Here is a 16351-nt window from a genome sequence, read left to right as displayed (position 1 = left end):
GACAATATGGCAAAACCCCATCTCTACTAAAAATACAAAAATTAGCTGGGCATGGGGGCACCCACCTGTAGTTCCAGCTACTCGAGAGGCTAAGGCAGAAGAATTGCTTGAACCCAGGAGGTGGAGGTTGCAGTGAGCCGAGATCGCGCCACTGTACTCCAGCCTGGGCAATAGAGCAAGACTCTGTCTCAAAAAAACAAAAGCCCAGATAAGCCCACTCCAGGAGAATGTACAAAGATCCAAGACTAAGCCTGAGGGGAAACCATTTAAGGGAACAGAGTTAAACACCTGGGCAAAGATGGTGGATACAGGAAATATAAGAGAGCAGTGAAGAATATTTACAGCAGGGTAAGAGGAAAAAATAACCCCCCTGCCAAACAAATGATGTTCCCATACTGGAGATGTCTATGTGCAAAGCAACTCTTCTTGCCTTCCTTTTTTTTTTCTTTTCTGAAAAGGCAATAGTGCCACTGAAAGATTATCTCCTAACTTTGGTTGAACAACTCAGATCTTTAAAACGATGAGCCAATTAACGCTGTTCACCCCTTTGGCTAAAGAGCAGCAGAAAGTACCATTTTTCTGACTTTCTTGGGTCCCTTTGGTGTTCTTCGGGCATCAGCTTGATTCCATCCATTTTCTGAATGAAGAGAGGGAGGAGGGGGTGGGACCCTCGAATTTTTTAATGCTCCCAAAATAACTGAGTGAGGAACTTCTGGCCCATTTCACAGAAGAGGGAGAAAAAAAAAAAGACTCAGACAAGTAAGGGAATAGATGTTGGGTGAAAAGGGAAGTGTGTTCTCGGGCCTTGGCTACCAGGGCCAAATTTTAAGCATGGATCAGGGCGATTTCACTTTGTGCCTTAGAGGTGGTGGACCTGCGTGGCTGCAGAAGTGGTGAGGAGCTTGTTGCACAGATGCTAGACCCCAGGGCCAGCCCCAGCCCTGCTCATCCACTGCAGCAGCTGGTCTCGGAGGCCCTCACACACACCTGGGGTAGTCTTCCTCCAAAGGTCCTGCTATATAGCAGGATCACTGGGTCTGTAGCTTTTTGGACAAATATTTGAATTTGGCTTTAATAGGCAAAACCAATCAAGTAGACAATCCGTGAAAAAGGAGCAGTAGATATGGATCAGAGTGCCACTCCCGACTCTGCTGTGGGAGAAAGGGATTGGCCACAGCAGCACAGCTGCTCCACTGCTTGTGCCCCCCGCAAACTGAGACCCTGGCCAGGCCAGGGTTAACTGGTTCATGATTTTTTTGAGACAGGGTCTTGCTCTGTCAACCAGGATGGAGTACAGTGGTGTGATCACAGTTCACTGCAGCTTCAACCTCCAGGGCTTAAGCAATCCTCCCATCTCAGTCTCTGGAGTAGCTGAGACTACAGGTGCATGCAATCATGCCCAGCTAATTTTTTTTTTTTTTTTTTTTTTTTTTAAGACAAGGTCTCGCTCTTTTTCACCAGGTTGGTCTTGAATTCCTGGCCTCAAGTGATACTCCCACCTAAGCCTCCCCAAATGCTTGGATTACAGGCATGAGCCACCATGCCTGGCCCTCTAATACTATTTTTAAATTTTTCTGAATGTTTGAAAGTTTTTATAATAATAGTTTTTTAAAACTGCAGTGAATTATAGGATATTCACATTAAGCAGGATAAATACATGATTATAAATAGCTTCACCTCAGCTCAAGTTTTGCTGCCATGTGGGTTAAGAAAAAGCATTTAATTTTCAGAGTGTTCTGGATTTCAGATTTGTAGATAAGAGACGTATTAATTTTGTGGTGTTACCATTCTCATTTAGGTCTTTAGCCCTTCTAGAGTCTACCATTGTGTATGATAGTCTGTGCAGATCCAGTTAATGTTTCTCCATTTTAATTAGTCAATTCTCCTAACATTATCTATTAAGCAATCCATCCTTCTCCCATTGATTCATGGTGCCCCTTTATCGTATATTAAATTCCCGTATGTATATGGGTCTTTCTCTGAGATCATTATTCTATTTCATTTGTCTATTACCTGTTTTTGCGCAGACATCATTTGCTTTTAGTACTATGGCTTAGAAGCTTAAAAGTTCCCTTTTCTCTTCTTTCTGAAGTTTAACTTAGGTAATCCAAATGCATTTAAAAATAAGATTTCTTCAAAAAATCCAATTAGAATTCTGAACGGGTTTTACTTGTAGCAGACTGTATTTTCCAAAGATAGCACCAATATATATCTCATCCCACATGACCTTCTTACAAAGTGATATTAACACTCCTCTATCGAGACATGGGGTCTATGTTCTCTTGTACCTAGAGTGACCTTCCCACCTGCCTCAACCAACGGAATGTGGCAGATGCTGTGTGACTTCCAAGGGGCAGTCAGAAAGGCAAAATGGCTTCTACTTGGTTCTCTTTTGGGACAAGCGCTGTGGGAGCCCTGAGTCAACCTATACTTAGTGCAGTAACCCAGAAGGCACCACATTGGAGAGATCACATGGAAAATGTACACATAAACAGATGACGGAGAACTGCAGCTGTCCCAGCCCCAAACTGCTTGAGTCTTCCCAGACCAGGCAACAGGTATGTGAGTGAAAAGCCTTTGAGATGGTCGCAGCCACAGCCACCATCTGACTGCAACCTCAAGAGAGGCTTCAAAAGCCAAAAACGCTTGGCAGAGCTGCTCTCAAATGCTTGGTTCACAAAAACTGTGAGAGATAATGATTATTACTGTTTTAAGCTATTAAGTTTTGGGGTAATTTGTTACCCCACAGTTACTGAAATAGCCCTGAATTTCTAAGTCAACGAGAAAGGAAGATTATCATTTTATAATACTAGATCTAGGCTAGGGGTGGTGGCTCACATCTGTAATCCTAGCACTTTGGGAGGCCAAGGTGGGCGGATCACCTGAGGTTGGGAGTTCGAGACCAGCCTGGTCAACATGGTGAAACCCCATCTCTACTAAAAATACAAAAAATTAGCCGGGCATGGTGGCGCATGCCTGTAATCCCAACTACTCAGGAGGCTGAGACAGGAGAATTGCTTGAACCCGGAAAGTGGAGGTTGCGGTAACCTGACATCGCGCCACTGCACTGCAGCCTAGGTGACCGAGCAAAACTGTCTCAAAAAAATCTTCCATTGAATATAATGTTTGCTGTAGATTTTTGGTACAGGATTTAAAAATCAAATTAAATATCCCTTCATCAATATTTTATTGAGAATGTTAAACATAAAATGGTACTGAACTCATCGAATTTGTTTTCCGTATCAAATGAGATAATCATGTCTTCCCCTCCTTTGGTCTACTGATGTAACAGGGTCTCTGATGTTGAACCAGTCTTGTATTTTGGGGGAAAACAGTATTTGTGATATATGTCCTCAATACACTATTAGGCCAGTTATCTGATACTTTATTTGGAGTTTTTGTAACAGAGGTACCAGGGGGCTTTTTCATTTGTGATTAAACATTAGTATCTGTTTAGTCTTTTTTATGTAGTATTCAGTTTCTTCAAAGAGCGAGCCTCCAAACTCTTGTCTCTACCCTTGAACTTCTGGAATTGAATGGGAAACGAGTTTGGAGCCTAGCTGCAAAGATGCCTTCTGACCCTGTGGTTTGGCATCTCACTCCTACCTTCCCTTCCTAGGTGCTTGGCCAAGTCCATACACTCCTGCTCTCCAGAGGAGCCCTCCCAACAGGTGCAGGACTTGGAAAAAGTCACCTGAGAGAGGAGCAGCAGCGGCTTCCACATACAGGACTTTCTAACAGTCCTCTTGTCTCTAAGGTTAATCGTGATCTGGCTAATAATTGGTGGAGTGTCCACAGGAGGGGCTACCACTAGCCCTGAAAAGGGTAAAACTTCGATATACTGACTTGTCCACAAATTGAAGGGGAAAAAAAAGCAAGTTATAGACACGAAGAATGTGACACCCTTAGCAAACAAAACCCATTCATGCTTGCATAAGCATAAGGAAGGATACATTTCTGAGTGTACACACCCATGCTTTACAAGGGCTGCCTGGTCACCCAAGAGCAGGGAGACCAGGGCAGAAGAAGGGATAAGACCTTTAACTTTAAGCTTTCTATATTGTTTCATTTTGTGATGACGAACTCAAATTACTTTTATAATTAATTAAAAACAAGTCGCCCCACACCTTAATCCCTACCCTAATTATCCCTGGATCTCAGCTAAACGTCACAATAGTTGGCACTGCTACTACAAAGGTGTAAGTAACAAACGGCCAGAGCGTGGCTCTGGCCAGAACAAAACAACAAAACCCTGGAGGAGTTGAGGAGTTGCCGTGCGGCAGTAGTCTAAGGCACCCCCGTCTCAGGGAGGTGCTAACACATCCAGCCCTGCAAACCCCAGTGCAGGAGCCTCAGCCGCAGGCACCTCGGGGTTGGGTGATTGTACTAGAGTAAGAAGTGAACAGCCTCCCCCAGGCTTTCTTATCATTTTTGCTTTTCCTCGTCTTCAGCTCTGGCTGCCTGCTATCACTTGTAATACTATAATTGCCAAGGCAATGGGATTGGTATAATTTCTCGTTGCATGAAAACACATTCCCTTTTTTCCTTATTTGAAAGCACACGAGTTGCTGAGCAAGGGTCACAGGAACACGGCCTATCTCTCACGTGAAGTGGGGTGAGATACACCCATTCTACATTCCTGCAGGACCAGGTTTGCAACCCCATGCACCTGCCAGTTTGCTGGGCCCTGTGAGGGGCAAAGGACGGCACATGCACTGCTGAGGGAGCAGGAGGGTGAGCTGTGGCAGGGCCCAGCAGTCGGTTCTTCCGAAAAGCTCTCTCTGGCTTTCCTTGATACAAGACACACAGGGTGCCAAGTATTAGAAGAAGGGCCAGGAACAGCCTGAAAAGGTCTCCATTCTCCAAAGCAGCTCTGAGTCCGTTGCTCATTTAGCTCTTTCATGGAGTGGGGCAAGTGAGTAGGAGGAAGAAAAAACCACAGCGGCAGCCCACATTTCTAGAGCCACTCCTACGTGCCAGGCAGGTTCTGGGAGATTTATTTACATTGTTGCATTTAATCCCATGAACCTCTGCTCTAAGCACGCTTTTTTTTTTTTTTTCCCTCGGAGACTGAGTCTCACTCTGTCACCCAGGCTGGAGTGCAATGGCACGATCTTGGCTCACTGCAACCTCTGCACCCCGGGCTCAAACAATTCTCCTGCCTCAGCCTCCTGAGTAGCTGGGATTACAGGCATCTGCTACCACGCCTGGCTAATTTTTGTATTTTTAGTAGAGATAGTGTTTCACCATGTTGGCCAGGCTGGTCTTGAATGCTTGACCTCAGGAGTTTTCTTGTTTATTTAATTATTATTATTATTTTGAGATGGGGTCTCACTCTGTCACCCAGGTTGGAATGCAGTGGCACAAATCTTGGCTCACCGCAACCTCCACCTCCCGGGCTCAACTGATCCTCCCAACTCAGCCTCTCAAGTAGCTGGGACTACAGGTGCACACCACCACCCCTGGCTGTTTTTTTTGTATTTTTGGTAGAGATGGGGTTTCACCATGTTCCCCAGGCTGGTCTCAAACTCCTGAGCTCAAGTGATCCGCCTGCCTCAGCCTCCCAAAGTGCTGGGATTTACAGGCGTGAGCCACTGCACCCGGCCAAAACCCTGTCTCTTTAAAAAGAAAAGAAATATCAAGAATGGAGCCCCGTATTTTAACAAAAATCCTAAGCCAGGAGACTGGCTCCATATTCTCCAACACTTCTCTAGTGCCACCTAGCATGAGGGGGGCAGATACACACAGGGAGGTCACAGCCAACCCAAAAGGCCACTTTTCCCCTCCTCATTGCTGAACAAAGGCAGCGACTGCACTGTGCCTGGAGTTTTCCCTCCTCTCACTCCTTCTCTGATTGAGTCTTCCACTCACAGAGCTTGGTGGCGGGGGCAGGTCTGCAAGGTGCTCGCAAGCATTCACCTCTTTTGACAGCCACTGAATTTCAGAGTTCACACAGTAACTTCACAAATTCATCATTCACTCTAGAAACTACCCGCAGTGTCTTCCTTGATTTATTAATTCAAATACTTTTAAGAGTAGATCAAGGTCTTTAGGCTAAAATTAAAAACATGCCAACGAAATACCACCATATATTTTTCCAAAGCTAAATGCCATGCACACCTATCCACGGCAAACACTGAATGCAGCACCCTGGATGCCAAGCAGGATGGAGGTGGGAGACATCAGAGATGAAGGGAGATAAAGTAAAGCAGGTGGGGCCTGGCTGGTGATGCCCACCCCAAATCTAGGCTGGAATTAAACCCTCACCTCCAGGAATGTGCACACCCCACAGGGAGGCTAGAGGGTCTGCTCGGGCCTCCCTGAAGGCACTCCCTGCAGATCAGGGTAGGAGGAATGACCTGGGGCTTTCCAGAGTCCGGCTGTGAGCGCCCAGCTTGCTGCTGGCGTGGCGCTGGGGAAGCGGGGCTATGTGGGGAGCTGACAACAGGTACGTTCTCATCCAGGCCTGTCCCTAACCACTCGCATGACTCTGCAAAAATTTTAGCTTTGTCTCCTGTTTTTCACTCGTAAAGTGAGGCTTATGCCTCTAAGTTTCCCTCCCATTATAAAGCCTCTGAAAAGTTAGAGATTATTGTCATGTTTCTTTCCTACCACAGGTCCCCTCAAGGGGAAGTTCTGGAAGAACCCTGTGTTCTTCCACCCTGAAGAAAGGGGGCACTATCTCCAGGTGAGCAAAAGGAGCTGGGAAGCCCCAGGCCTCCCACGTGGTAAATGTTCTATAATATTGTCAGAACTGACACCTCAGTTTAAAAAAGTCTGCATTAGAAAAGGCAAGGGGGTACTTGCTATTCACACACAGCCTGTAACTTAGAAGATTCCTCCTCGTTCCTCCTGTGTGTGTCATACGGCCAGGCCCTCCGGACGCCTCTCCTAGCAAGCACCAGCCCCACCCCATATGAGCCTCCATTACCCACAGTGGCTTGACGTACAGAGGCTCTCACAAAGTCATGAAAGACTGAGGACCGCAGGAACAGTCATCTTGCCGCAGGCGGCCAAGAGAAGCCTGATAAGGGGGCGTCCCTGCTCCTCCCGGGTGATCCTGCTACACACATAGATGACAAAGGGAGCTCGGGGGCATGCGGCCAAAGCTGCTGTGGAAAGGTAAAGACACAGTCCATATTTGCACTCTCTTTGACTTAGCTCTTTTAATTGACTCTTTCCGATAAAGAATTCATTTCACTTCAGCAACTGCCAACTTTAGCAAAAGGTCAGTGCACTGGCCATGAGCCACTGTCGATGGAAACTTCTCAGCTGCCTTCAGAGATGCCTTGAGAGGCTGGTGCTTGATGGTCACGGGCCTCTGCTGCCTTCGTCTCCCGGGGCTGTGCTCCACGCTGCTTCCCAGGGAGACAACGACCAGGCATTCCCTTCTGACATGCTCTTGAACGCAGAAGGTTCTAAGCATGTTATTACAAATGAGCTGGAACAGCTCTGTCAAAGCAAGTTCTGTAAGTTGTCTCGATTCTTCTGAAGTGACTGAACAACCATTTGCTTAGATTTCTCACTTGGCTTAGATCTCGTAGCATAACAACGAGAACATGAATATTTTTTCATTGACACTTGTGTCAAGTCAAAAGTGTAACCTAATTTTAAGCTTCTCTCACAGATTACCTTAAGGGAAATACAATATAAACCACCATCTTCTACTGTCTCGGCAGCAGGCTCTTGGGAAAGGGAACCTCTCCCAGTTCTACTACACTTGGGCCAATTGTCAGTAAAAGGTCTCAGCCAGGTCAGAAGCTGACGCAAAGCACCTGGTTCCTCAAATTAGCACTTTAAACCAAGCTGCTGACAAGACGACTCATTGTGTTAAGAAACCTAAAGGAGTGAAAGTCATACTGTGGTGTAGGGATCAATTGAGAAGTCCCATACTTTTTATGTCTTCTTCCCTAGGTAACTTTGCCATCACACACACATGCAAAATCAAATCACAAAACTGCTGGCAAAAATATCAGAGCTGTCCATCAACAGATGAATGTTTAAAGAAAACGTGGTACATATACACTATGAAGTACGATTCACCCATAAAAACGAGTGAGATCCAGTAATCTGCAACAACATGAATGGAAGGTACATATACACTATGAAGTACGATTCACCCATAAAAAAGAGTGAGATCCAGTAATCTGCAACAACATGAGTGGAACCGGAGATCATTATGTTAAGTGAAATAAGCCAGGAAAAGAAAGATAAACATCATATGTTCTCACTTATTGGTGGGATCTAAAAACCAAAACAATTGAATTCATGGACACAGAGGGTAGAAGGATGGTTACCAGAGGTTGGGAAGGGTACTGGGGGTGTGGGGGGAGGTGGGGATGGTTAATGGGTGCAAAATAATAGAAAAAATGAATAAGACCTACTATTTGATAGCACAATAGGGTGACTATAGCCAGTTAATAACTTAATTGCATATTTTAAAATAAAGAGTGTAATTGTTTCGTGTGTAACTCAAAGGATAAATGCTTGAGGGGATGGATACCCCATTCTTCATGACCTGCTTATTATTTCACACTGAATGCCTGTATCAAAACATCTCATGTACCCCATAAAAATGCATACCTACTATGTACCCACAAAAAATGTATTACTATTTTTTTTAATCAGAGCTTCATATTAGGATCTGAATTCGTTAGTGTCCCCTGAAGGGGAGTCACCACTGCACAGCCTTCTTGAGAACTTCCTTCCCTATTTTCTTAGCCTCCTCCTCCTCACGAAGTTACAAAACTCCAGTACCCTCATAGTACAGGGGAGAAATAGAGATGACCTTGGAATTCTACCATCAAAATCAAAGCTGCGGCCAAGATTAAAATCCAAGTTTCTGGCCGGGCGCGGTGGCTCACGCCTGTAATCTCAGCACTTTGGGAGGCCGAGGCAAGTGGATCACTTGAGGTCAAGGAGCTCAAGACCAGCCTGGCCAACATGGCAAAACCCCATCTCTACTAAAAATACAAAAATTAGCAAGGCAGGGTGGTGTGTGCCTGTAATACCAGCTACTTGGGAGGGAGGCAGGAGAATCGCTTGAACCTGGGAGGCGGAGGTTGCAGTGAGCCGAGATCACACCACTGCACTCCAAGCCTGGGCGACAGAATGAAACTGTCTCAAAAAAAAAAAAAAAAAAAAAAAAGATTTTCTGAGTCTGGTATGCTAGGGTGGATTTCATGGTCATTGTGCTCAAATGTAGAGATAGGATATATTTCCCTGCTCCTGCCACAGGCAAGGTGGGACTACCCTAACTTAGAAAACTGTCGGCCGGGTGCAATGGCTCATGCCTGTAATCCCAGCACTTTGGGAGGCAAGATGGGCGGATCACAACGTCAGGAGTTTGAGACCAGCTTGGTCAATATGGTGAAACCCTGTCTCTACTAAAAATACAAAAATTAGCCAGGTGTGGTGATGCGCGCCTGTAGTTCCAGCTACTCGGGAGGCTGAGGCAGGAGAATCACTTGAACCTGTGAGGCGGAGGTTGCAGTGAGCCGAGATCGTGTCACTGCACTCCAGCCTGGGCAAGAGAGTGAGACTCGCCTCAAAAAAAAAAGAAAAGAAAACTGTCACTTCACCTTGGTTTGTAACGGCAAGTCCAAGTGCTCCTGGGTTTCTACAACTGAGAGAAGCTCCTAATATCCTGGGCTGTACCAAATAATCAAACGAGGTCTAGTCATAAAATCCTAGTCAAATTGTCTGTCTGATCCCCTAGACTTTGTAAAGGAGTGAAGAGAGAAATGAGATGAAGGAACATAAAGAATGTAACTTCAAGGGTCAAATGAAACAAAGCCGGCCTGAAGGAGAGAAAGGAGCGGTCAAATCCATCAGCCTAAGACCTTTAGTCCATGTTTAAATTGATTTATACAATTTCCAAACATTACAGGTAGAGTAAAAACTTCGAACTTTTGGCTCCAAACACTTCTCTGCTCACATTCAGAAATGGAAGGATCAGATAAGACCTGAGAACAAACTTCAAGAGATAGATGGGAGTCTTTTTGATGGCTGAAAAACCGGTTCCTACGAGATCTGAGCCATTTCGTCACAAACAAAAGTAAGAAGATGGGTAGTTTTCTCTGATACCCCCACTGCATCTGAGATTTCTCATGCTTTATCTGAATTCATTATGCTGTTCTTTTTGAAAATCCAAGATATCCAGCCTGGCTAACATGGTGAAACCCTGTCTCTACAAAAAATACAAAACTTAGCCAGGCGTGGTGGTGCATGCCTGTAGTCCCAGCTACTTGGGAGGCTGAGGCAGGAGAATCGCTTGAACGGAGGAGGTGGAGGTTGCAGTGAGCCAAAATTGCGCCATTGCACTCCAGCCTGGGGGACAGAGTGAGACTCTTTCTCCACAAAAAAAAAAAAAAAAAGAAAAAAAAAAAAAAAGAAAGAAAGAAGGAAAGAAGGAAGGAAAGGAAAAGAAAAGAAAAGAAAAAAGAAAATCCAAGATATCTGGGGCCAAGCCTACAAGGGCAAAGGGTAGCTGCAAAGTCCTGACACCTACTCTCAAAACAGTCCGGATGGTTGGCAGTTCCTCTGGCTCTTCCTAGAGCAGGCAGGCCTGACACATTCTGAGGCTTCCTTCACTGCTCCCAGATGCTCACACAGCTGGGGATCAAGGCCAGTATCTAGTTGTTTATATTCAAGTATGAAAAGCCTGGCGGGTAGCAGCCCCTTGGAAGGGTAACATTTGGCAGCAGCTCATCAACAGTCCAAGGAAAACACAAGGTGGTCAAACACTCTCAACTAAGGCACACAGAAAGCCCAGCGCATCTCCTGGGGGATGAGACCGATTTATTTAAAGGACAAACGGAAAGGAACCACGAGGATGTGGAACAACTCTCCTGAGTCCAACCAGCAGAGCAAGATGAGTACCAACACCCACTGCCATCTACCCTCCACCTAGTCTGTCATCAGGTTACCAAACTCAACCCAAATCCCTTTTCCAAAGCAGCGTGATGAGGTTTGCTACTTACTTTCTGCCCAAGTCCTGGGAGCCCTGTTGTCCAGTAGGGCTATGATTCCTCTTTAACTGATCCCCACTATGGCAGTCATTTCTGGTCTAGAGTAGTTGTCCCATCTTTAACAATTTATCTCATTCTTTTGAGAGGCCTTGGCTACTCTGTTATTCTCCTTAGTTCCTGCTGACTGCAACAGTGTTGGGCCAGCAGGTTTGGGGAAATAATCCTTGGGTCTAACATTTATTGTGTTATTCTTAGAGTGCTCCTTGCAAGCAAAGCTACTGAAAGCCAAAGTAGAAAAAGCTGCATATAATGGATGAGAACAGCTCACCTCAAGGGACCAGCCACAGCGCTCCTCAGATCTAAACGCTCCCGCACAGAAAGCAAAGGAGCGTCCATTGTGGCACATGCTTGTAGTCCCAGGCAGGCTGAGGTGGGAGGACTGCATGGGACCAGGAGTTCGAGATCAGCCTGGACAACATAGTGAGACCACCCCCCCGTCTCTAAAATAATAAAATAACATAAAATATTTAAAAAAAAAAAAAAAAGAAAAGGAAAGGAAAAAGGGCAGGTCAAGTATCAGTGTATTTAGAGGACCAGAAAGGATGGAATGCGGTTCTCTCTCAGGCCTCATATTTGTTGAGAAGGTTTACAACAGCAGTGGTCCCTACTTTTCTCCACACACAGCCCACCATGTATAAACAGCAATTTCTGGGTGGGCGTGGTGGCTCACGCCTGTAAACCCCAGCACTTTGGGAGGCTGAGGCAGGTGGATCACCTAAGGTCAAGAGTTCACGACCAACCTGGCCAACATGGTAAAATCCCATCTCTACTAAAAATACAATAATTAGCTGGGTGTGGTAGTGCACACCTGTAATCCCAGCTACTCTACTCAGGAGGCTGAGGCAAGAGAATCACTTGAACCCGGGAGACGGAAGTTGCAGTAAGCTGAGGTTGTGCCACTGCGCTCCAGCTGGGGTGACAGAGTGAGACTCTCAAAAAAATAAAAATGAAAAATACATAGCAGTTTCCAAGGCAGAAGGAAAGAACCAATTCCATCGAATTTCTTGCAAAGCAGCTGTTATGACGATCCTGAGGCCAGGGAAGATGAATCCCTTATTTATAAAAATGAAAGCGGTCAAGATAGCACCTGTAAGACCAGAATGAATCTGGTCACTCTGCTACACCAAACAGGCCAAGCCCCTGGCTAAGGAATAAATTGCTTCTTAAGGAGCTTTTCTTAATCTGGCACCTCTTTATCCAGGACCAAATCAATATATTAAAAAAAACTCCAAGTGTTGATCAAACCTGGTGACTCTAGCAGAGCAAAGAAGAAAACAAAACTGTCACCATCTGTATTTGTATTAGAATAACCTTACTAAATTCCATTTATATTAGAAATCTGGCATGAATAAGCAACAAACAAGCACGTGAACTACAATGGAGTCAAAGGAGCAGGGACATGCAGCAGGACGGCAGGGTGGGGGTATTCCAAGATGCCCCGGTAGTACCTGATTCTGAATGAGAGAAACCCCCAGGAGATTCTGAACAAATCTGAAAGAAAATGCAACAGCATTACGGTACTCTGTATGGAGAAATGTCCATCAAAACAAGACTCTAAATCTGTAATACCAACTACCCAAGAAACTGAACTAGAGGATGCCACAGGCCTGAATGCATCAGGAGAGGAATCTAGTGGCATTAAAAAGTCTTTTCCTGACCAGGCGCAGTGGCTCAGGCCTGTAATCCCAGCACTTTGGGAGGCCAAGGCGGGTGGATCACATGAGGTCAGGAGTTCAAAACCAGCCTGGCCAACATGGTAACTTCTTAAGTTACCCCATCTCTACTAAAAATACAAAAATTAGCCAAGCATGGTGGCACACACCTGTAATCCCAGCTACTAGGGAGGCTGAGGCAAGAGAATCACTTGAACCCAGAAGGTAGAGGTTGCAGTGAGCTGAGATCATGACATTGCACTCCAGCCTGGGTGACAAGAGGAAAACTGTCTCAAAGGAATAAAAAAAAAAAAGGTTTTTCCATGAACCAAGTCCTTGAAATGAAAATGATCTATCCTCTCACATCATGATACTTGTGAACTTCAGTATCTGTATCTTCAGTATTTTTGTCCAAACATACAGTTTCCATTCTTGTCAGAGGACCAATACCAGATTTGTCAACCAAGAAAGGTAAACATCAACCTCACACATAACATCAACATCATACATAATCTTATACCTCACTTTTAAACCTATTCTTTTCAGAACCACTAGAACTTATGAGCAGTACTGTCATTGAAAACGATGGAATCTTCCACCATACTCAACCCTTTCAGGGCCTCTGGCCAGAGCTGCCTGATGAAAATGTGAATGAACACACAGTCACTAGGCTTACACGCTGGGCTGAATAGAATGAAACTGATCCTTTTACAGTTCAACTTTCTTAAGCCCATACCTCTTAAGAAGAAGATTCCAATTCATCCTTATGGATCCTTAAACTTCAAACTATATATAAAAAGGAGTCTTAATGTGATATGGGGAGAGGCACCTGCAGAACTGACCATCAGCTATCAATGGCTAAAATGATTACAGTCCTCAGAATTTTCTCCAAAGGCAAATATGCCCCATTACATAGAAATACAACATGCCTGCTCAGCAAAGGAATTGAGGTAAATTCTGAGCAGCTGAGGGATAGCTTGGATCACTGGTTGGCAAATGTCTTTATCGAGGAAATACTGGAACAGAAACATTGATGGTTTTCTTAGAAGACCCTCTTGGTCCTTCAAGGATGTGCCCAGTTGGAGACAAGGCCAGCTTTCCCAGGTAATGCTACTTTTAGTAGGAAAGGCAATAACTACCCCCACAAGACTGAGTGTTTATGCTGTTTTTCTTCTGTAAAATCAAAGATCTTTAATCTCTAAGGTCACTTGGAAAGCGTGGTAGGGTCCCGAGGTCAAGTCTGCAGCATTCTTATGCCTTTCCAGCAGAAATGAGACTCCACAGGCTGGTAGGAAGGAGCTCCTTCTTCCAGGCAGGCAGCTGGTGTGTCCACAATGCTCTGTGGGCAAAGGAAGGAAAAGGCCTCTCATAGGGAGACGAGCAATGCCTGTCATCAGGCCTGCAGTCTACCCAAGACTCCAATGTTTGAGGACAGAACACGACCTACTCCTGGGCTGGTAGCATGGAAAGTGCTGGAACCAAGTTCTTCACAACAAAGACATCCAATAACTTAGGGCACTGGTTCTGCTGCAAGAAGGTGAGATTCTACATCATACATTGGGGACTGGAAAGACAGAATGGATACACACAAATGAAGGAGTGGTTCTAAATTCTAGTAAGCCTGGGTGATACAGCGAGACTCCGCCTCAAAAATAAATAAATAAAAATAAATAAGTTCTAGTAAGCCAGTGTTGCCACTTTATTTAAACCTGAGAAACAGTTCCTTTAGAAAGCATTAAAATGGGAGCAATGGAAAGAGTCCAAATGACGTTCCCACACTTCTCAATTCACTCCCTGCATCAATGCAGCATGGGGTGATGCCTGGCCCTGCTTGTTGGGAGAGGAAAGCCATCTCTTTACAAACGAACGCCTGCCCACCCAGTCTGCCTGTTACAAAGGGCCGTCTTTCTGAATTTGTTCTAGAGAGCTGATATGATCACAGTAACAGTTTCATTAGGACACCCTGCTCCTTTAATTTCTGCTCTAAAACAAGACAGCTAGACAGGAGAAAAGACCAAGAAGAGAGTCAGATCCTCCTGTTTGGACTTGACCTGTAAGAAAGGCTAGAGACAAGAAGGGCTGGGATGGTCCCAGTGATGTGGGCAGTGAAGGCCAAAGCACCATTGCCATGGAGCAATTCCCACATTCCTAGAGAAGCCACGCTCCACGTGAATAGGTAAGGCCAATCTCCCAGGAGGATTAGTATCAGGGGAGAAATCAAGAAATGCTAACACAGAACTTAGCTTGAGAAAACAGCCAGGGGAGAACAAAGTGCCAGTATTACCTGATTGCTAAATTATTAAATTGCTGCTTAGGCTAAAAAGCAATGGTTCCTTAGGCCCTGAATTAAAGGCACCTGACACAGACCAGCATGAGGACTGAGAAGCCCACATAGTGACCTCCACTCTGACCATACCCAGCTTTCCCCCACTTCCCTGCAGACCCTATGGAGAAATCTGCCCAGAGAATCAGGCAGGAAAAGATGAGCCAGTGCCTGGCTTGTCCCTTGAGCCACCAAAGTCAACAAAGCAGACAGAACTGGCAGGGTGCCAGGGAGGCAAAGTGGCATCAGCTTCTCCCAGCAGGGCCACGCCTCACCACAAATGGACTTTTAGAACAAGAGTACCCTACCCTCACAACAAAGGTCACTGCATTTATTTTCCTTCTCCAAAGCAAAATGGCTGAAGCCAGGAACTGCACTTCTGGTCAACACAGTTAAGGTCCTTCCCACTCTGAAAGACAAAATGCACTTTGCTTGTTGAAACACAGCAGGATGAGGATTTTCCACATGGGCTTCTGCCTTTTTCACAGGAACCACGAAACCAGAGGAAACTAAGGGTCCTTGCTTAGGGCCTTGGGGGAGTACAAAGGGAATTGTCAACAAGGAAGGAAGAAATAATCTCAAATGGCATCAGTCCTATTCCCTGAAGGGGAAGACACATAGTTCATACGAAAAGTAAAGTTTTGACCATGGCTTGGGAAGACTCTGATCACCAAAGGGAATATGTAACAAAGAACTTGCGTGGCCACAATGAGCCAAAGCCAGCAGAGGTGACCTGAACAGGGAGTACAGGAGCCCAGGAACAACCTGGGAATACCCTAAAGGCTCTTTTCTAAAGTCTAGACTTTCTCCAAAATGTGATGTGTACACACCAAAGTACAAACTGAAAAGACATTTTCTGAGCTTGTGAGGAAATTACTACTTATGTGAGTCCACTCTGCTTATTTAATAGGTGGATGTGTTTTACAGCATGGGGCACATCTATCATGGGCATTAGGGAAGCTCACAAATAGCCCCTGATAGTGACAGCCACTGGACATTGGTGATTTTTTTTTTTTTTTTTTTTTTTGAGATGGAGTCTCGCTCTGTCACAGAAGGCTGGAGTGCAATGGTGTGATCTCGGCTCACCGCAACCTCCGCCTCCCAGGTTCAAGCGATTCTCCTGCCTCAGTCTCTTGAGTAGCTGGGACTATAGGCGTGTGCCACCAGGCCTGGCTAATTTTTGTATTTTTAGTAGAGACAGGGTTTCACCATGTTGGCCAGGCTAGTCTTGAACTCCTGACCTCAGGTGATCCACCTGCCTTGGCCTCCCAAAGTGCTGGGATTACAGGCATGAGCCACTGCACCCAGCCATTGGCGATTTTTATGTTTTTAGCTGGAGTCCTCAA

The 16351-nt window shown here is 45.4% G+C and overlaps 1 protein-coding gene across 3 annotated transcripts in view, besides 4 other annotated features; it reads right to left on the bottom strand.

The window, feature by feature from the left end:
• The window catches only part of ZNRF1 (zinc and ring finger 1), a 111971-nt gene that overhangs the window by 41373 nt on the left and 54247 nt on the right, over window positions 1-16351 (bottom strand). The gene's annotated exons all lie outside the window — the stretch shown is intronic.
• Window positions 4550-4659: an enhancer, noted in NCBI's record as "active region_11117". NCBI's record gives its function as "activates an Ori minimal core promoter by ATAC-STARR-seq in GM12878 lymphoblastoid cells {active_cell/tissue: GM12878}" and the evidence as "EXISTENCE:reporter gene assay evidence [ECO:0000049][PMID:35858748]".
• Window positions 5889-6765: an enhancer, noted in NCBI's record as "H3K4me1 hESC enhancer chr16:75096755-75097631 (GRCh37/hg19 assembly coordinates)". NCBI's record gives its function as "activates a minimal SCP1, AML or CMV promoter by ChIP-STARR-seq in naive H9 embryonic stem cells {active_cell/tissue: H9 hESC(naive)}" and the evidence as "EXISTENCE:reporter gene assay evidence [ECO:0000049][PMID:30033119]".
• Window positions 5889-7660: a biological region, named in NCBI's record as "CDK7 strongly-dependent group 2 enhancer GRCh37_chr16:75095860-75097059".
• Window positions 6461-7660: an enhancer, noted in NCBI's record as "CDK7 strongly-dependent group 2 enhancer chr16:75095860-75097059 (GRCh37/hg19 assembly coordinates)". NCBI's record gives its function as "activates an origin of replication core promoter dependent on BRD2, BRD4, P300/CBP, MED14 and CDK7 cofactors, with strong dependence on CDK7, by STARR-seq in HCT116 cells {active_cell/tissue: HCT116}" and the evidence as "EXISTENCE:reporter gene assay evidence [ECO:0000049][PMID:35650434]".

Source organism: Homo sapiens, chromosome 16, assembly GCF_000001405.40.
Source record: "Homo sapiens chromosome 16, GRCh38.p14 Primary Assembly".
Classification (NCBI taxonomy): Eukaryota; Metazoa; Chordata; class Mammalia; order Primates; family Hominidae; genus Homo; species Homo sapiens.
Note: the sequence above shows the minus strand (reverse complement) of the source record. Positions and strands in the feature narration are given on the sequence as shown.